Raw genomic sequence first — 20,543 nt, forward strand, 5'->3', positions numbered from 1 at the left:
CCCACTGGCCGGTATAAAGCACCGTGACCCTCAGGTGACGCACCAGGGCCGGCTGCCGTCGGGGACAGGGCTTTCCATAGCCATGGCCCAGCAGTGGAGCCTCCAAAGGCTCGCAGGCCGCCATCCGCAGGACAGCTATGAGGACAGCACCCAGTCCAGCATCTTCACCTACACCAACAGCAACTCCACCAGAGGTGAGCCAGCAGGCCCGTGGAGGCTGGGTGGCTGCACTGGGGGCCACCGGCCACCCACCTGCCCCGCCCAAGGGAATCTCTCTTCTGCACGTCCCCACCAGCAGAGAAGGCTTTCTCCCATAGCTTTTCTGATGACATGAATTGGGGGGTCCTCTCCAAATCTAGAAGGACACCATAATATCGAATATGCATTCTCAAGCCACACAGGCTTCCCAGCCCCTTTGAGAATCCGAGGCCGGGGAAGAGTTTATGTGCTCTTTCTTTGTGGCCCGTAGATGAGTGTGTTCACTGCTAGCGAATGACCTCTCATTCCACGGAGTCCCTCAGCTTCCTGGGGAAGAGCTGGGTCTGTCTTTACATTTGAAGCCGAAAGGAGGCAACATACTGACACACCCAAGGGAGGCGGGAGGGTGGGGAAGACAGCAGCAGAGGGCAAGAAACTTCTAGAACTTCAGGGTCGGCAAAGCCTGTAGCAGTCATTTTGTCAAACTCCATGATGGGGCCACTTGGCTTTTGGCTGCACACCTCTGGGGGAAGAGGCTGCATTGGCGCCCAGGGCCATCTTTCCATTCGGAGCCGTCCTGGGAGAGAGGGCTCAGGCCCAACAGAAAGCTGAAAGCTCTCATCAGGGCAGCCCGAGTCCTGCCATTGGGAGTTGCCCAATCCGAAAGTTTTGCACGCAGGCCCTCAAAGAAGCTGAGGACACCAGTGACCGCCCCACTCCTGGCCCTCTCCCCAGGTCCCTCCTCCAAACCAAATTCCTTTGGTGCCTTCAAGAACATCGTGCAGGCCGGGCACAGTGGCTCACGCCTGTAATCCCAGCACTTTGGGAGGCAGAGGCGGGCAGATGACGAGGTCAACAGATAGAGATCATCCTGGCCAACATACTGAAACCTCATGTCTACTAAAAATGCAAAAATTAGCTGGGCTTGGTGGCGCATGCCTGTAGTCCCAGCTACTCAGGAGGCTGAGGCAGGAGAATCGCTTGAACCCGGGAGGTGGAGGTTGCAGTGAGCCGAGATCACGCCACTATGCTCCAGCCTGGCCACAGAGTGAGACTCTTGTCTCAAAACAAAACAAAACAAAAAACAACAACATCGTGCAGGCTGTGGTTTCCAGAAGCCACGCCAGCTCCTTGATTGCCAATAAACATCCCGCTGTGGGGTGGCCAGGACCGAGTGCCAATTAGTGACAGAGTGCCCAGACCAAACCGGATGAGGATCTTGCAGTTGACCTCAACATGACTGTGCCCAGAATTTCCTTGGTGGCAATGTCAACAGTCTCTTCCTAGATGCCCCCAGACTTCATCAATGCATGATGCTTCAGTGCACTCTTTTCAAATGTCGGGGTGGGTTTTTTTTTTTTTCCACAAAACTTCAAGCATCTACTAAAGTAGAGGGAGGAGTGTAATGAACTCCGGTACCCATCACTCAGCTTCCACGGTTTCATCTCATTTCATCTGTGACCCCTCCACTACCCTTTCTTCCTGATTCTTGGAAGCAAATCCAAGACATCACACCCTTCCCTCTGTAAATCTTTACTATGTTCCTCTAGGAGAAAAGGGCTCTTCTCAATACATAACCACAAGTCATCATCACACCGACAAGTGTAACAGTATTTCCTGAATAGCTTCAAATATCCTAGTAGTGTTCAAAAAATGTCATACGTATTTTCAGTCTGCTTGAATCAGGGCTCAAATAAGGTCCACACATTCAGATTGACTGATATGCCTTTTGACTACCTTTGAATCTAGAGGTTCCCTTTCTATCTCCCTGCAATTTATTTGTGGAAGCAAGCAAGTCGTTCATGACGTAGCCTAACAGGCCCCTCTGACGTTGTTCATTATGATTTTTCTGTAAATTGGTAGTTGATCTGAGGATCTGGCCAGAGGCAGGTTGGATTTGTTGGTGTGTTTTGGCAAGGAGAGTGTCTCTTTTCTGGGGTGTTGGCAGCTACTGAAACTCAATGCCCAGACCAATTAAACCACTGGGGATGGAAAATGACGGCATTCGGACACCTTACCCTGCCTTCACCTATTGGTGACCAAAACCTTAACATCTTCACAGGTCTTCTTACCCTGAGGGTATATGCCACTAGGTTGTGTAGTAAACCGGTGTGTTTCCAGTCCCTTAGAATAGTCCCTCTCTAAGTGATATGCCACTCAGTGGATATGCATTTAGCTTCATTTCTTTTGTTGCTGATTTTCAGAGATTGCTCTGTAAATTTAAACTTTTATTTTACTTTATTTTATTTTTTCGAGACAGTCTTACTCTGTCGCCCAGGCTGGAGTGCAGTGGCGCGATCTCAGCTCACTGCAACTTCCGCCTCCTCGGTTCGAGCGATTCTCCTGCCTCAGCCTCCCGAGGAGCTGGGACTACAGGTGCCCGCCACCACGCCCAGCTAATTTTTTTTATTTTTAGTAGAGACAGGGTTTCACCATGTTGGCCAGGCTGGTCTCCAACTGCTGACCTCAAGTCGTCCGCCCACCTCGGCTTCCCAAAGTGCTGGGATTACAGGTGTGAGCCACCGCCCCCGGCCACTTAAATTTTGTTTTATAATTATGTAATAAAACAGTTAAAAGTCTCAAATTAAAATCTAGAAAAGAAGGTGTATTTGAAGAAGTCTGGCTTCTCTGCGCCACCACCGACCGCCCCTTCCCTACCTGCCTGTATTTCCTCGAATCACTTTGCCTGGGAGCTGACTTTGATTCTCTTGCTCATTGCTTCATGAAATTCAGTTCCAGAACTTTCAGGAGGGAGGGGTAGGCCATGACACCAGCTCTAGTTACACTGGTGGCAGCTCCTGTCCCCTCCCCCACTGCTGCTGGGACCTGTTCTCTCCTTTGCCCCCTTGTCCCTGCACTGCCCAATTTGGACCGCAAGGGTTGCCAGGGAAGGGCACTGGCTGCCTTGTTTTCAGAGGTCGTAGCACCTAGATTGCTCCAGCCCCTTGCACTTGCCTGCAGGCCAGAGTGTCCCAAACCCTCCCAGTCTCAGCTGCTCTTCCCCAGTTCACCCAAGGTACTTCCCAGGGAAGAGCTGCCGACAGTTTGGGGGTTCTCTGTTCTTAGGTCCATCAGCAACCCCATTGCTCCCCTCTGCTTCCTTCTGCACGGAGACTGACGCCATGCAGGTCTTCAATTGTCAATGGTCTGTCCCTGCTGCTCATACTGGGGGTTCCTGGGGAGCCAGTGCCAGGTATCGGGATTGCAGACATTGTCTGTGGGTTTCCAGAAGCTCCTTGTGTTAGGAACATATGGGGCCCGTGCACAGAGGGCAGCAGAGGCCTTGTGGGATCCAGCTGTGCTAGGGGTGAGATTTATCTGTCTCTCCTGGCCATAGCCAGGAAATCCCCATTTTTCTTAAGCTAGCTTGAGTTGGGCTTTTCTAACACACAGCTAAAGAATCTCTTGATAAACCTTGGGACTCTCCATGAGGCCTTATATGGCAGCAGGTCTGTGGCTTGCAATCCCTTCAAGTAATCTGCCAAAAACAATGTTATGACGAAGGTCCTTCCAACACAAAAGGTGTAGAGCCCTAGCAAACTCCTACAGAAGAAAAAGGAGAAATAATTCGTTTGTAGTCCCAGCTACTTGGGAGGCCAAGGTGGGAGGATCACTTGAAGTCAGGAGTTCGAGACCAGCCTAGGCAAGATAGCCAGACCCCATCTCTACAGAAATAAAAAAAATTGCCATTGTGGTAATGCACGGCTTGTAGTCCCAGGTACTCGAGAGGCTGAGGCAGGAGGATCGCTTGAGCCCAGGAGGATCGCTTGAGCCCAGGAGTTCCACGTTGCAGTGAGCTATGATTGTGCCACTGTACTCCAGCCTGGGTGACAGAGCAAGACTTTGTCCCAAAAAAAAAAAAAAAAGAAAAGAAAGAAAGGAAAAGAATAAAAGAGAAATTACCATAGATTGGGTGGCTTTTAAATGATAAATTTATTTCTCACAGCTCTGGAGGCTGGAAGTCAGGGTGCTAGCGTGGTGGGCTCTGGCGAGGACCCTCTTCCTGACTGCAGATTGCCAACAACTCATTGTATCCTCACATGGAAGAAAGAGAGCTAGAGAGCACTCTAGGGACTCTTTTTCTTGTTTGTTTTAATTAAAAAAAAATTTTTTTTACATGGGCATGCCATGTTGCCCAGGTTGGATTTGAACTCCTGGGCTCAAGCAACCCTCCAGCCTCAGCCTCCCAAAGTGCTGGGATTACAGGCATGAGCCACCATTCCCAGCTAATTTGGGCTGTTCCCAAAGGCTCAAGTGATCCTCCCACGTTGGCCTCCTGAGTAGCTGGGGCTACAGGCGTGAGCCACCATGCCCAGCTTCTAGGACCTCTTTTATAAGGGCACTAATCCCATTCATGAGGGCCCCACTCACTCTGCACACATGACCTAAATGACCTGCCAAAGGCCCCACCTCCTAATACCATCACCTTGGGGGTTGGGATTTCAACACAGAAATTTATGGGGGGCACGTACATTCAGATCATCATGAACAGTAACTCCTATGTGTGACAGAAGGTGACAGAGGTGGGTAGTGGTCTTCCCCTCAAGGGGGTGAGTTGCCACTAGCTGGGGAATCTTCTGGAAGGCAAATGCATATGAGCTGGGCTTTACAGGAGGCAAGCGTTTCTCTATGGAAGGGCAGAGGACTGTGGGAGGTAGGAGGTGGGGCTGGGGCAAAGGGAAGAGGGGAGCAGGGAAGTGGGGTGACTGCACACTGGGAGTGGGGAATCAGATGGAGGAGACGATGAGGAGTTCTGTTAAGTTCAAGATGCCAGTGCCAGTGACCAGCGGGCGATGGTCTCTGGCTTGAGGGACAGGATGGAGGGGAGACTGTCTGAGGATGGACAAAGCTGGAGGGAAACAGCCAATTGCAAAGGCAGGAGGGCGGAAGGGGGAGGGGAGAGGTGGGATCAGCACTGGTATAGACAGGCGGTGCTGCAGCCCAGCTCCTCTCTCTCCTCTGCCTCCTGCCCTCAGGCCCCTTCGAAGGCCCGAATTACCACATCGCTCCCAGATGGGTGTACCACCTCACCAGTGTCTGGATGATCTTTGTGGTCATTGCATCCGTCTTCACAAATGGGCTTGTGCTGGCGGCCACCATGAAGTTCAAGAAGCTGCGCCACCCGCTGAACTGGATCCTGGTGAACCTGGCGGTCGCTGACCTGGCAGAGACCGTCATCGCCAGCACTATCAGCGTTGTGAACCAGGTCTATGGCTACTTCGTGCTGGGCCACCCTATGTGTGTCCTGGAGGGCTACACCGTCTCCCTGTGTGGTAAGCCAGTCGGGGCCCAGGCTCGGCGGAAACCACTCATTCACCCTGCAAGCCCCTCCGGCCACCTCATGATGATCGGGGCCCAGCTGCTCCTGTAGGCCTGTCTCCCTCCACATCTGCGCCTCACATCCATATACTGAAGGGTTCTGGAGGCTTCCATCTGAACACTCACATTAAATTCAGCTCCCTTGAGTCAAACATACCCTGAGTTCCTACTCTTGAGTCAGGCTCTGCCCGGGGACAGCCAGTTTGGAGCTGTGGGGCTGGTGTGGGAGGAGACAGATACAGAGCTAGACAACCCCAGAACAGTAGGGGGGCGGGGACTCTGGGCACCCTGGACAGAACTCCCCTGCAATTAGGGATGCCTGCTCTTTCAGCTCGCCAGCATCTGCTTTTCCCGGAGGAGACACAATTCCCAGATCCTCTCCCCATCCCCATCACTAATATCTCTGTGGGCCACTATTCCGCTCAGGTCAGGAGACAGTGGCGGAGAGGTACTAGCGTGCCAGGCTCTGTGCTAAGGAGGGGGCCCTATAGCCAGACGGCAACCACACAGTACCATCATCAGTCCTCTCAGACAAGAAGGGGCCTGGGGCAGGTGGTGGAGGAGCGGCTGGGAGCAGTTTGTGGTTCGAGTGGATAGAGTACCACCAAGCAGCCGTGGCTGCTGGACACGAGGTGGGCAGGCCCAGGTCTCAGAGGCCTCAGACGTCATGCCCAGGAGCTGGGACTTTCTTTCAGGAGGAGGAGACCCCACATCCAGCAGCAGCAGCTCCTGCTCTTGCCTCCCCACCACTCTTAGCAGCCTCCCCAACCCCACCCCGTTAACTGCCTCAAATTGTACCCACGATGGCCCAGACCAGAGAGGGTGCTTGTCCAAGTCCCGGCACTACCCCGATAGTGTAGAAGGGGAGCCAAGGGAAGGTCAGGCAGAGAAGGTCCATCCCCGGGTCCGAGTGCTCTCTGCAGCAGGCATGGCCTCGGTGGTCACACGACCCTTCCCGAGTGCCCCCCTGCATCTCCGCCCACGTCTGTCTCCGTTTCTGCCATGGTCTCCCGCTCACCCTTGCCTCTGCTCATGGTCTGTTCTTGGGTCAGTCAGGTGCCAAGCAGCCAGCACTTCCCCACCACTTTTGGTCCACGGATGCCCTTGGCCATCTGGGAAGCCTGTGGACCCCATCTCAGGAGAATTTTTGCAAACGCATAAAATGAGACCCATAGGATTACAAAGGCAGCAAATTATACTGAAATACAGTTATCAAAGTATTAAACATTCATCAGTAACATAGTCTTTAGTTAAAAGCATTTACTGGCCAGGCTCATACCTGTAATCCCAGCACTTTGGGAGGCTGAGGTGGGAGGACTGCTTGCCTCCAAGAGTTTGAGACCAGCCTGGGCAACATAGTGAGACCTCTTCTCTACAACAAATAAAAACAGCTGGGCGTGGTGGCACACCAGTAGTCCCAGCTACTCAGGAGGCTCAGGCGGGAGGATCGCTTGAGCTCTGGAGGTCAAGGCTGCAGTGAGCTATGATGGCACCACTGCACTCAGCCTGGGCAACAGAGTGAGATTCTGTCTCAAAAAGTAAATAAAAATAAAAGCATGTGTTAAACGTATTAGTGACACCACTCAGTATTAAGGTATTAAATAACAGGATCCCGCCTGACAACCACTGTTATTTCAGAGTAGTGATGAACATAAGTGGTATTCGAACTCTCTGCCACCTCTATGAATTGACAGGAAAACATCTGTGACCTCTCTTGCTGACCGAGTCACGGGTACTGCTAATACTGCCACGTTCATAATGGAAGGAAATGCCCAGTGTCTGTTCGAGGTTGGTGGAAAGAAAGATGTCGTTTTTTCCACCTCAGTCCGTGGAGCCCTGAATTCTGTGTGCAGACGTTTGGGGTCTAAGCAGGACAGTGGGAAGCTTTGCTTCCCACCTTTGCTTTGGCTCAAAGCCCTCATCTGTCTGCTCTCCCCATAGGGATCACAGGTCTCTGGTCTCTGGCCATCATTTCCTGGGAGAGATGGATGGTGGTCTGCAAGCCCTTTGGCAATGTGAGATTTGATGCCAAGCTGGCCATCGTGGGCATTGCCTTCTCCTGGATCTGGGCTGCTGTGTGGACAGCCCCGCCCATCTTTGGTTGGAGCAGGTAAGGGTGCGAGGACGCAAGATGGAGTGGGCAGGGTCAGACTCTGTGACCTTAAGGCAAATCACTTCCTTTCTCTGGGCCCCTCTGAGCGTGCAATGTCTATCAATGTATGAATGTGGCTGCAACATAGGAAAGGCTCTGTGGTCCCCGAACCTCTGGAAACATATTTATCCCAAGCACGATCAGGTCACAGGCGCACACGGAGCTCAGGCCATCAGCACAGCTGTCAGTGAACGCATAGCGTGTTTGCATTCCAGGTCTCTTTCTTGCACACGCTGCCGCACCACGCCCCCCACCTTTCAGAGGCTGCTTGGGTCATAGATCCACCTGGGCCTACAGAGCACATGTCCTGGCCAGGCCAAGCAAGTGGCTCAAATGTTTGATTGGAGTGGACTGGGTGGGACAGCATTTCACTGTTTTATCGACAAGCTCGTGAATAAGTTCTCGTGGTGTTTGGAGAGGGAATGTTCTTTCCTCGAGAACGTTCCACAATTCTAGGAAACAAACCTTGTGGAAGCCTGTCTCTGTCTCCCGCCCTCCTCATGCCGCCATGCCCCACACAGCTGCCCGTTATCAAACATGTGTGGTGAGCTGACCCTGGTGGAGGCTCTCCCGCGGGTTATCTCATTTAATCCTCCAGGCCACTAAGTGAGCAGGGCCCTTTATTTCAGTCATGGCCTAGCTGACCTCAGATAAAAGACTCAGCTCTTCATGGGTGTTCTCAGAAGGTCAGGGCAAGAAGGAACCTCACAATCCCTTTGTAAAGAAGGGGAGTGATTGGGAAGATGAAAATGTCCTGGAAGCAGATAGTGGAGATGGTTGCACAGCATTGTGAATGTACCAAAGGTCACAATGGTACTTTTTTCTTTTTTTGAGACAGGGTCTCACTCTGTCACTCAGGCTGGCACAGTGCAGTGGTGTAATTATGGCTCACTGCAGCCTCCACCTCCTGGGCTCAAGTGATCCTCCTACCTCAGCCTCCTGAGGAGCTGGGCCTACAGGTGCACCACTTCACCCAGCTAATTTTTTTTATTTTTTGTAGAGACAAGATCTCACTGTGTTCCAGGCTAGTCTTGAACTCCTGGGCTCGAGCAATCCTCCTACCTCTGCCTCCAAATGTGCTGGGACTATAGGCGTGAGCCATTGTGCCTGGCCTATAATGGTACATTTTATGTGATGTGTATTTTACCACAATTCAAAAAGAAGAAAGGCATGACATCTAAAAATGGACAAGGATTAACCAAAATCCTACCCAACGGTTTTGTTTTGGGTTGATGAAAATGTTCTGGAAGCAGAGGTGGTGACTGCCACAGAATTGATCACTTCAAATTGGGTAATCTCATGCAACATGAATTTCACCTCAATTTAAAAAAACAAACCCCACCCGAGTTAGCACCGTGCCTGGGCCGGGGGTCCTGGGTCACCCCACCCTGCATCAGGACTGGCTGCCGGCCCTTCTCTCCAGGTACTGGCCCCACGGCCTGAAGACTTCATGCGGCCCAGACGTGTTCAGCGGCAGCTCGTACCCCGGGGTGCAGTCTTACATGATTGTCCTCATGGTCACCTGCTGCATCACCCCACTCAGCATCATCGTGCTCTGCTACCTCCAAGTGTGGCTGGCCATCCGAGCGGTAAGCCCCCCGATTCCTCCTGGCCTCACCCGCCTCCTGCCCCTAAGCTGCTCTGCCCTCAAATGAGTCCACTGAGACTCCTAAACTATTTTTCCAAAAATCCTTAGAGAAGAGGATTTTACCCCTATAAGAAAATATTAAGATCCAGCGATGAGAATCAGGTGATTCCTTTGGGACTGTACCAGTGGCTGCAGGTTCAGCCCCAGCCCCGTTGTCCTCAGCTCTGTGAGACGGGAAAGCACTGCCACTCCCTCCCTGGAGGAGTCCACTAAGGGAACAGAGGTGTGCCTTGCCCCGACCCTGGACAGTTCTCCCCGGGGTGGAAAGGCTGCCTTTCCCACAGAGTAGAGTGGAGCAGCCACATCAGCAAATGACACCTGCAAATCAAGGCGTGTTTTTATGAGGCTGCCACCGGAGTACCCTTGTCCTTTTCATAGGCTGTGGGGCCGACCAAGGAGTGGACCCGAGAGTGCCATTTGCCCCCCTGACCCACTCTCCACCTCCATGTCTGGCCCTCTGCCCTGGGAAGCTGATCCTGTCCACAGCCGTCACCCCCCACCCCTAGACTAGGCTACCACTGGGAGCCCTTCAGGAAGTCAGAGCAAGGGAGGAGAGCCAGGCTGGTTCTTTTCTGTTAGCAGTGGGAGCCCTTTCAGGGTGCTGGCTTTCCTATATGAAGCTGCCTGTGCCCACAATTGGATGGGCATGCCTGCCAAGCTCTCTCTAGAGGAGTCTGTGAGCCTGTGAAAGGCCCCCTCACCCCGTCACCTTGGGGTGAAGGCTCCCACAGGTACCCAACCATGGCTTCGGCTGTATTAGTCTGGGATGGTAGAGCCCCAGCTCCACAATGTGGCCCCAGCTCTGCTGTCTCAGCCATCCCTGCATTCCAGCCCTCACACTCCCTCTCTCATCCCCACTCATCTGCCTGCCGCCAGTCCCTCATCCCTGGCAGGTGGTGGCTGGCCTCTGGCCTCCCCCACAGTGCCTCTGCCTGGAGGCCATTCGTCTCCTTCCTCCCAGCAGGCATGAAGGAGCCACCCCACCAAAGCTGCCCTCAGCTGCCTCACCGTGAGTCCAGGGCAGGATTTAGTCCACAGAGTGGCCAACCTGGCCTAGGAAGCCTGAGGGAAGTGTATGCATTGCTCTGACACTCCCATCGCGCACCCCGCCAGCCACTGCTTTTGCCTCCCCCGCCATCTCCACCTTGTTAACTCCTTCATTCTCCACGCCCAGTCATCAATCAAATCAGGCCTCCATGCTCAGGCCTGAGCGCAGGACAGGACAGTCTGTTAAGGGATCAGGTGAAGCAAAGGAGCTTGTTAGATCCAGCTCTGGGGTCATCTTAGGCCACACCTAGCTGCATGCCACCTCCAATTCTAGAACTCCCCCAGGGCCAGCCTGAGGCAGCCATGTCTGCCTGGGGCCGGCTGTGCTCCACTCAGGGCTGGAAGATGGCTGCTGGGCTCCTCTCCTCCTCCCCACAACTCCCTATGCCTGGGTCACCTGCCTCTTGCTGCCCTCCAACCCCCGACTCACTATCCCTGTCTCCCTTAGGTGGCAAAGCAGCAGAAAGAGTCTGAATCCACCCAGAAGGCAGAGAAGGAAGTGACGCGCATGGTGGTGGTGATGGTCCTGGCATTCTGCTTCTGCTGGGGACCATACGCCTTCTTCGCATGCTTTGCTGCTGCCAACCCTGGCTACCCCTTCCACCCTTTGATGGCTGCCCTGCCGGCCTTCTTTGCCAAAAGTGCCACTATCTACAACCCCGTTATCTATGTCTTTATGAACCGGCAGGTAAGCAACACCATCAGCAGATCCCACTCAAAATACCGTGTGCCCTAGAAGGGTGCAGTGATGGCCCCACCTGGAATCATGTCTCTGATAAGAAGCCCGCGGAGCATCTGGGGGACCCTCCAGGGAAATGACCGGGAAAGGCTCAGCGTGTGACCCAGCCCCAGCCAGAGCTCCGGCTGGCCCTTAGCAGAAGGCTTAGGTGTGCCCTCTGGAATCCTTTATAGTCTCGGCCTGAGGGTGGCATTTCCCAAAGCGTCTGTGTGCCGTGTGCTCTTCCCTTCCGGTGGCCCTAGAACTATGGCTGCCGAGCTTCAGGGGCTCTCCTGGCGTTCAGACGCTCTAGGAGTTGGTGAGCCCTAGGTACATCCACCCTAGGTGTGCCCCTCTTCTGTTCAGACTCGACCCTTCTCAACCTTCATCTCTCCATTTTCAAACCGTAACCTCTGGAATTTGTCTTCCTATAAGAACAAAAGCCGGCCCTCCTTGGCTACACTGACCAAGAGTTCAAGAGCTTTCACGAGTTCGTGGGTTAGTTCAGGGGGGACGTGCTGTGGTCCTGCCCAGAGGCAGCCTCCTTAGCTGGCATATTGGGCCTCAGCAGCAAGCTGCTCACACACCTAAATCCCCCCACCTCCTGCAGGTTACAGGCTTCATTAAAGCGCAGCTGTGATGTGACTTGATGGTGGCCAGAAAGGTGTGCAGAGGCCTCCCATTTCACCAGGCCCAGTCCATCCCTTCCACTGGGCTCTTCCTTGCTTCTCCATCTTAGAGCCACTCAATGGCTCCAGCCCCTTTGGCTCAGCTTTGACTCACACAAGCCAAGTCTGCAGAGTTCATTAAGGGTTCATTCTCTCTGGTAACTTTTAAACAGTAAGTAGGACCAGGCCTGCAGTGGATTTCCGGGAACTCGCTGTAGCACACTGATGCCCAGAGTGTAGTTCTATCCCTGACCCCTGTTTCCTGACTTTCATGAGGATCTTTTTTAGGTTTCTGGAATCCTAAACTATCTTGCCAAGTACTGTCTTTACTGGATTATTTCCATTCTCCTTTCCAGAACTCCCCCTGGACAGGGGGAGACAGATGTCTGCACTTCTGGACCTCACCAGGCCTCGAACTTTGCTTTTACCCTTTCCACATAATTATCCTGTCCTGCCACATTCTGAGAGAATTTTCTGGAACGCAGTTCCATGAAGACAGCAAATTTTGCTCAGGACAGAGTCTGGCACACAGTGGGTGCTCAAGCAGCAGCTGCTGAATGGATTCCTCAGCCCTATCTCCCAGCTCTTCAGCCGAGCTGATTCTGCTGTTTGTCCCGTTTCTTATGTTATTAATTTCAACCATTATATTTTTTATTTTTGAGAGTTTTGATGATAGAGGGAGTTAGAGCTAGTCAAGAGTAGGCCTGAAATATTTAGAAAATGCCTTTGGTCTGGGTCCTCAAAGCATTGTGGTTACTTCAGGGATGACACAGGACATGATTTGAGACATTCATATGGCCCAGATCTCTTTGGGGTGAAGCAGCAAAGACAGACCCCTCCTGGTACCGGAAGACGCTTGGCTGGAGAGATGAGGTAGGGGCTAGATTGTCATTACCTAGGCCTCACCTTGCCCCAGATCCATGGACTGGAAAAAACATGACAACCACATGCCTTTTCATTAATATTCCTCCGAGCCGCTCACCAGACAGTCTGGGGACAGGTCACCACTGCCCCTTAGCTGTCACTGTGGATGAGTGTCATGGGGCTGCCGTCACAAACTACCACAAACTCAGTGGCTTCAAACCACAGAAATGGATTCTCTCAGGGTTCTGGAAATCTTGAGTCTGAAATCAGGGTGTTGGCAAATGGAAAGGTTCCCTATGGAGGCCGGGAGGGAGAAGCAGCTGCAGGGCTGCCGGCAGTCTTTGGCGTTCCTTGACTCCAAGGTGTGTCACCCCAGTCTCTGCCTTCATCTTCACGTGGCCTTCTTCCCTCTGTCTGCGTGTCCGTGTCCAAGCGTTCCTTTTCTTATCAGGACACCAGTCATTCGATTAGGGCCCACCCTGCTCCAGTGTGACCTCATCTTAACCTGAACACATCTTTTGGGGGACCCACTTCAACCCAGTGTAGTCACCATCAACTGCTAAGTCAGATGACATCCCCGCGTGTGAGGGAGAAATAATCCAAGCCTTCCTCCATCCCCCATGGGATTCGGAATGGGTGAAGGGAAGGCTCGGGCACGTACATTCAGCACAGTGCTCCACCCTTCCCTGCTCTGCTCAATAACGCTTTCTGTCCTTCCAGTTTCGAAACTGCATCTTGCAGCTTTTCGGGAAGAAGGTTGACGATGGCTCTGAACTCTCCAGCGCCTCCAAAACGGAGGTCTCATCTGTGTCCTCGGTATCGCCTGCATGAGGTCTGCCTCCTACCCATCCCGCCCACCGGGGCTTTGGCCACCTCTCCTTTCCCCCTCCTTCTCCATCCCTGTAAAATAAATGTAATTTATCTTTGCCAAAACCAACAAAGTCACAGAGGCTTTCACTGCAGTGTGGGACCACCTGAGCCTCTGCGTGTGCAGGCACTGGGTCTCGAGAGGGTGCAAGGGGGATAAAGAGGAGAGAGCGCTTCATAGACTTTAAGTTTTCCCGAGCCTCATGTCTACCGATGGCGTGAAAGGATCCTGGCAAAACAGAAGTGTGAGGCAGGTGGGCGTCTATATCCATTTCACCAGGCTGGTGGTTACATAATCGGCAAGCAAGAGCTGTGGAGGGGCTTGCTGGATGCCCTCAGCACCCAGGAGGAGGGAGGGAGCTAGCAAGCTAAGGCAGGTGGCCCTCCTGGCCCCTTAAGGTCCATCTGCTGGAGGCCCAGAGTCCTTGGAGTACAGTCTACACCTGGAGGGGACCCATTCCTGCCAGTCTGTGGCAGGGATGGCGCGCCACCTCTGCCAGGCCAGGACCCCAAGCCCGATCAGCATCAGCATGGTGCAGGTGCACAGGCGTGAGCTGATCAGTGACGAGGGGCAGGCACACAAGGTGGAGACAAAGACCAAGAGGACGGTTGCCAGTGAGAGGCGCGGACTCAGGAACTTGAACAACATCTGCGGGGGACGGCTTTGGAGGTGCTCCGCTGCCTCCAGTTGGGTGACTTGCTGTAGCATCTCCAGCTTGGATATTCGGCTCTTGAAGGTCTCCGTGATCTCCTGCAGGAGACGAAAATGCACGCACCAGAAGTCAGCACAGAGTTGTGGTCGTTTATTGAGTTCTTAGGGGTGAGCAGAAAGCACTGTGGAGTGGGTATTCGAGGAGGGAAGCAGAGAGCCTAGAGCACATTCAGGGCAGAGGGGAGGGCGCAGGCTCTCCAGCAACAGGGAAAGCTTCATCTGACCCGGCTGCACTCCCCCATCCACTGTCTCCCGAAGCTGAGGACCTGGTCAAGACACAGCTACCCAGGGACGGGGGTGGGCGCTATGGGAATGGAAAAGTGAGGAGAGGGAAGCCAGGTCTAAGGAGGGGTTCTGAGAGGGCGCTCCCTACACCTGCAGCCGCAGCAGAAGCAGCTCCACCCCAGATCTCCCGAGTCAGAGGCTCACGGGTGAGCACTGCAGCACCAGAGTGGCAAAAGCAGCTAAGCCAGATGGTGGGAAGCGGAGCGTGAGTGTAAAGATCAGATGCTGCTAGCTCTGAAACAAATGTGTGTGGCCATCGAACCCTCAGGAGGGGGCAGCTCGAGGACCCGTGTCTTGCTTTGGTTTGGGGGTATCAGAATAGATTCGCTCATCCCTCCAGTCTTCTTGCAAGGCTCCCCCAGGAGGTTCTCACCCATATTTCCTTGGCTCTCTCATAGGATAGATAGGCCATTCTCTCTTCGCTGCAGGCCAGATTGTGTTTGAGGTTGTAAATCTCATTCAGCTGTCCCTGCAGGCGACCATTCACCTGTTCTTCCATCAATGCTTGCCTTGGGAGCAAAAGAGAAAGTGAGATTCCTTCAGTACCTCATCCAGAGCTCATGCCAACAGCGAGCGGTCCTGACCTAGACTAGATTCGGGTTCAGCTTCTGCCTTCCTCCCCGCTCCCCAGGCTCTAGGGAAAGCCTGCCTCCCACTCCAGGTCTGCCTGGGAACACCCCAAACACACACCAGCCACACGCACACCAATATTCATATATATTTTATATGTAGTTACTCTTTTGTAACAGCTTTACAAAAATAGCCACAGACTAGAAGTTGTAGAAATGACAGTGTGAACTATCTGTGTGTGCTCTTCAGTTCCGCAAATCCCCCAGGACCAGTGTTGAGCACGAAGTCTAGCCTGCAGTTTAGCCTGCAGTTACTCTATAGAAACATGGTGACTATAAGGATTGAAAAGCCACAAAAGACCACAGATTCCAGTACAATTCCATTAGTTACGAAATGTCCAGAATAGGCAAATCCATAGAGACAGAAAGCAGATTAGTGGGTGCCAGGGGCTGGGGGTGGGGGATGGGCAGTGGCTGCTAATGAGTACAGGGTTGCTTTGGGGCTGGTGAAAATATTGTAGGACCGGGCACGGTGGCTCACGCCTGTAATCCCAGCACTTTGGGAGGCCAAGGCGGGCGGATCATGAGGTCAGGAGATCGAGACCATCCTGGCTGACACGGTGAAACCCCGTCTGTACTAAAAATACAAAAAAAATTAGCCGGGCGTGGTGGCGGACGCCTGTAGTCCCAGCTACTCGGGAGGCGGAGGCAGGAGAATGGCGTGAACCCGGGAGGCGGAGCTTGCGGTGAGCAGAGTTCACACCACTGCACTCCAGCCTGGGCGACAGAGCGAGACTCCGTCTCAAAAAAAAAAAAAAGAGAATATTGTGGAATTAGATAGTGGTGATGGTTGAACAACTCTGTGACTATACGAAAAACCAGTGAATTGTACACTTTAAATTGGTGAATTTTATGGGATGTGAATTATATCTCAATAGAGCCGTTATTTAAACAAAAAGAGAAAAGTGAATCATGGCAATAGTTGCGCAACTCAGTAAATTTACTAAAAACCATTGAAATGTAGTTAAAATGGTGCATTTTATAATATGTAAATTATATCTCAATAGAGCTGTTAAAAAACCACAAGCAGGCCAGGCGCAGTGGTTCACAGTTGCAATCCCAGCGCTTTGGGAGGCCAAGGCAAGGGGATTGTTTGAGGCCAGGAGGAATTCAACACCAGCCTGGGCAACACAGTGAGACCCTGTCTCTACAAAAAAAATTTTTAATTATCTGGGTGTGGTGGCACGCGCCTGTAGTCTCAGCTACTCTGGAGGCTGAGGCAGGAGGACCTCTTGAGTCCGGGAGTTCGAGGCTGCAGTGAGCTGCCATCACGCCACTGCACTCCAGCCTGGGCAGCAGAGTGAGACCCTATCTCTAAAAGAAAACAATCACTACCTGTTGTGTATATAATTATATAAGTAGTAAAAGTATAAAACCATGCATGGAAAAGATAAGCACCCAAATGAGAATGGTGAGGCCAGTATAGCAAGGCCAGAATAGCAAGGAAGGGAGATGGTGCTGGAAAGGGGTAATGAGGGCTTCAACAGAATATTTTAAAGTTTTATTTCCTAAAAAAATAAGATTTGAAGTGAATATGGCAAATGTTAAGATTTCAGAAAGCTGGGGCTGTTAATTATGTTATCCTTACATTTTCCCTTTGCTTGAAATACTTCATAATTTAAAAACTTCTATGAAGTTCCCCTTTTGGCACCACAAAGAACGGGCCAGAAGGACAGAGGCCAGGGGGCCAGTGAGGGGGCTCTGGCACCACCGCTTACGTAGAAGAGAGAAGGCACCAGAGCGTGATGGAACCCATAGACTGGCAGGGCTGCCGCCCCAGGAGGCCCAGGAGGGTGGCGGCAGGCCTCAGGTGCAGGAGGTCTAAACGGTGGTGCTGACAGAGACGGGGAAAACAGTGACGACTTCTATTCGGTCCCACTCCAAGGACTTGACCAACACCCACACGGAGAAATCCCCCGGGCACTGAATAAGCTGACAGCTCATTTGTTGAAAGCCAATTTGTCAAAAGCTGGTTCCTCGCAGCATTTCAAGGAATATTCCATTTGTCTCTGCCCCAGGTCCCTGTTAAGAAGAGAGTCGGTGGACAACATGGACTAGGCCACTGCTCACAGAGAGGGGGAGTGGGTCGGCAGGATGGTCACCCCGAAAATAGATTCCTCATTACTGTCTTTCCATTTACATGAATGATCTAGCTGTGAGAACATTCAAGATTTTAACTGTCCTCAGGAATATGAAGTCAATCTTCATCAATGTATTGGTAAAGATACATGAAGATATTCTTCAGTGCATTCTTGAAGAGTCTCTTCAGATGTCAGTAAACAATATTTTCATAAGGATATTCTCTCAGTCTCCCCTTCTCTCTGGCCCCCATCTCCTGGCCCTCTGGCAGCCGCGCTCCCTTCTCTTCCTTGGTCAAGGACCCCCCTCTCTCCACCTCCTACAGTCACAGAAGCAAATGGACAACTCTGGAGAATGCTCTTATGAACACAAAACGATGACCAGTCAACCCAGACACCCTCAAGACAGACCGAAGGTGTTAAGACCACCCTCTCCAACACAAAGTGTTCTAAACTTTATTGTTTTTTTCAAAATAGTGTTGTTGTTTTTTTTTTTTGAGACGGATCTCCTTCTATTTGCCCAGGCTGGAGTGCAGTGGCACGATCTTGGCTTGCTGCAACCTCCGCCTCCCGGGTTCAAGTGATTTTCCTGCCTCGGCCTCCTGAGTAGCTGGGACTACAGGTATGCGCCATCATGCCGGGCTAATTTTTTGTATTTTTAGTAGAGACAGGGTTTCACCATGTTGGCCAGGCTGGTCTCCAACTCCTGACCTCAGGTGACCCGCCTGCCTCGGCCTCCCAAAGTGCTGGGATTACAGGTGTGAGCCATTGGGCCCAGCCAGAAAGAGTATATTCTTGGTCATTTCTGAGAATTTGCTTTTGGCAAATTGAGCTAGAGCCTAATCATGGCCCACAACTTGGAGGAAAAGTCTGAGACGGAGAAACAGCTGTAGGAGGGGTCAATAGCCCAGGTGCAATCGGTGCATGTGGCCAGGATGGATGAGCTCACTCTGAGCAAATGTGCCAAAGCAAGGGGCCCTGGGGAGCTGGGGGAAGAGCCAACAAAACAGAAGCGAAAGCAGGAGGAAATTCGCCAGGACGGCTCACACAGGAACCCAGAGGATGTAGGGATACAGTGGAAAGGTTGAACATACATGTAACTGGGGCCTTAGAAGGGGAAAAATGAGAGACTAGGGCAGAGTCACTATTTGAAAATATAATGGCTGAAAACGTCCAAAACTGACAAAAGACATCAAGCCATAAACCCAAGTAGCAATGCGAAGCCCAAGCAGGATGAATGCAAAGAAAATCACACCAAGGGGAGAGTCAGCGGCACAAAAAAGAAGAGAGAAAGAAAATCACGCCAAACATCATCATAGCAAAACCACTAAACAACAAAGAAAAACAAAAGATCTTAAAAGGAGCCTGAGGAAAACAAAACTGTGATCCGAGGAGCAACAAGAAGACTGGCAGCTGCCTTTTCAACAGAAACCATGGAAGTCAGAAGGGAATGATTTGTTCAAAATGCTTATTATTTCCAAAAATTAAGTGCCAACTTAGAATTCTATGTCCAGCAAAAAATATCCTTCAGGGCCGGGTGTGGTGGCTCACGCCTGTAATCCCAGCACTTTGGGAGGCCGAGGCAGGCAGATCACGAGGTCAGGAGTTCAAGACCAGCCTGGCCAACATGGTGAAACCCCGTCTCTACTAAAAATACAAAAACTAGCCGGGCGTGGTGGCACATGCCTGTAATCCCAGCTACTGAGGAGGCTGAGGCAGGGGAATCGCTTGAACCTGGGAGGCAGAGGTTGCAGCGAGCCGAGATCTCACCATTGCACTCCAACCTGGGTGACAGGGTGAGGCTCTGTCTCACAAAAAAAAAAAAAAGAATTCCTTCAGAAATAAAAAGGAATGATGGCATGTGTGAGGCAATAAGGTGACAGTGACTGCATATTTAACATTGTGGACTTGTTTTAAAACATTTTTGGTATGGTATTTAGGCTATGTTAACAAAATGATCCATATTTCAGGTTCACACTGAAATATTTACAGATGAACTGATATAATGTCTGTGCTTTGCTTCAACGCAATAGGGATGAGAGGAACCAGTTCAGAGAGCAGATCAGACCTTAGGTCAGACCTCCTCAGAGATCCCAAGATGCAGGATGCTGTGACATGGAGGAGAAGTCGGGGAAAAAATGGAAGTTAACACGACCCCAGCCTGCAACAAAGCCCTAAGCAGATACCTTGAGGAAAGTCAGCCCGAGGCTGGATCCCTGGGGCTGAGAGGTCACAGAGCAACACTGAAGCCTCTAGGAACCATAGCCTGTTATCTCCAAGCCTCGTCTGAAAGCGAAACATACCAGAACAGTCTTGGGACAGAGGAGCTAGGGTCTGGATGCCCCCAAGGACCTCGTGTCCAGGAGGGAAAGAAAAACATGGAGACCTGGCATATTCACTTCCGGGCGTTTTCAATATGACAGGAGGCTATAAGAAAATTTCACGACTGCCCACTTGTGGATACAGCCAGAAATACAAAGCAAGAGTGAAAGTTTTGCCTACTCGGCACCTGAGTAGCTTCTTTTTTATTCAATTTTTATTGAGGTAAATTTCATGTAACATAAAATGAATTATTTTAAGGTGAACAATTCAGCGGCATTTAGCACATGTGGTGTTGTGCAACCACCATGGCTATTAATAGTTCCAAGACATTGGCCGGCTGCAGTCATGCCTGTAATCCCAGCACTTTGGGAGGCCGAGGCGGGCGGATCACGAGGTCAGGAGATCGAGACCATCCTGGCCAACATGGTGAAACCCCGTCTCTACTAAAATATGCAAAAATTAGCTGGGCGTGGTGGTGCATGCCTGTAATCTCAGCTACTCAGGAGGCTGAGACAGGAGAATCACTTGAATCCGGGACGCAGAGGTTGCAGTGAGCTGAGATCAAGCCACTGCACTCCCTCCAGCCTGGGCAGCAGAGCAAGACACCACCTCAAAAAAAAAAAAAAGCCATTAACAACTTTCTTTCTTTCTTTCTTTCTTTCTTTCTTTCTTTCTTTCTTTCTCTTTTTCTTTCTCTCTCTCTCTCTCTCTCTCTCTCTCTCTCTCTCTCTCTCTCTCTCCCTCTCTCTCTCTCTCTCTCTCTCTCTCTCCTCTCTCTCTCTCTCCTCTCTCTCTCTCTCTCTTTCTGTTTTTTTTTTTGAGACAAGTTCTCACTCTGTCCTCTATCACCCAGGCTGGAGCACAGTGGCACAATCATAGTTCACTGCAACATAAAACTCTCGGGCTCAAGCGATCCTCCTGTCTCAGCCTCCCATGTAGCAGGGACTACAGGCATGTGCCACCAAGTCCGGTTAACACTTTTAAAATTTTTTGCAGAGATATGGTCTCACTTTGTTACCCAAGCTGGTCTCAGACT

The 20,543-nt window shown here is 51.7% G+C and overlaps 1 protein-coding gene and 1 pseudogene across 1 annotated transcript; one reads left to right on the forward strand and one right to left on the reverse strand.

The window, feature by feature from the left end:
* On the forward strand, positions 1-14,266 carry OPN1MW (opsin 1, medium wave sensitive). Its single transcript, NM_000513.2, has 6 exons — positions 1-194; positions 5,175-5,471; positions 7,459-7,627; positions 9,093-9,258; positions 10,813-11,052; positions 13,335-14,266. Exons 1-6 carry the CDS (start codon positions 83-85, stop codon positions 13,443-13,445), a joined length of 1,095 nt encoding a protein of 364 aa, NP_000504.1. The 5' UTR covers positions 1-82; the 3' UTR covers positions 13,446-14,266.
* TEX28P1 (TEX28 pseudogene 1) overlaps positions 13,726-20,543 on the reverse strand; it is a 20,975-nt pseudogene continuing 14,157 nt past the window's right edge.

This window comes from Homo sapiens, chromosome X (genome assembly GCF_000001405.40).
Source record: "Homo sapiens chromosome X, GRCh38.p14 Primary Assembly".
Lineage (NCBI taxonomy): Eukaryota > Metazoa > Chordata > Mammalia > Primates > Hominidae > Homo > Homo sapiens.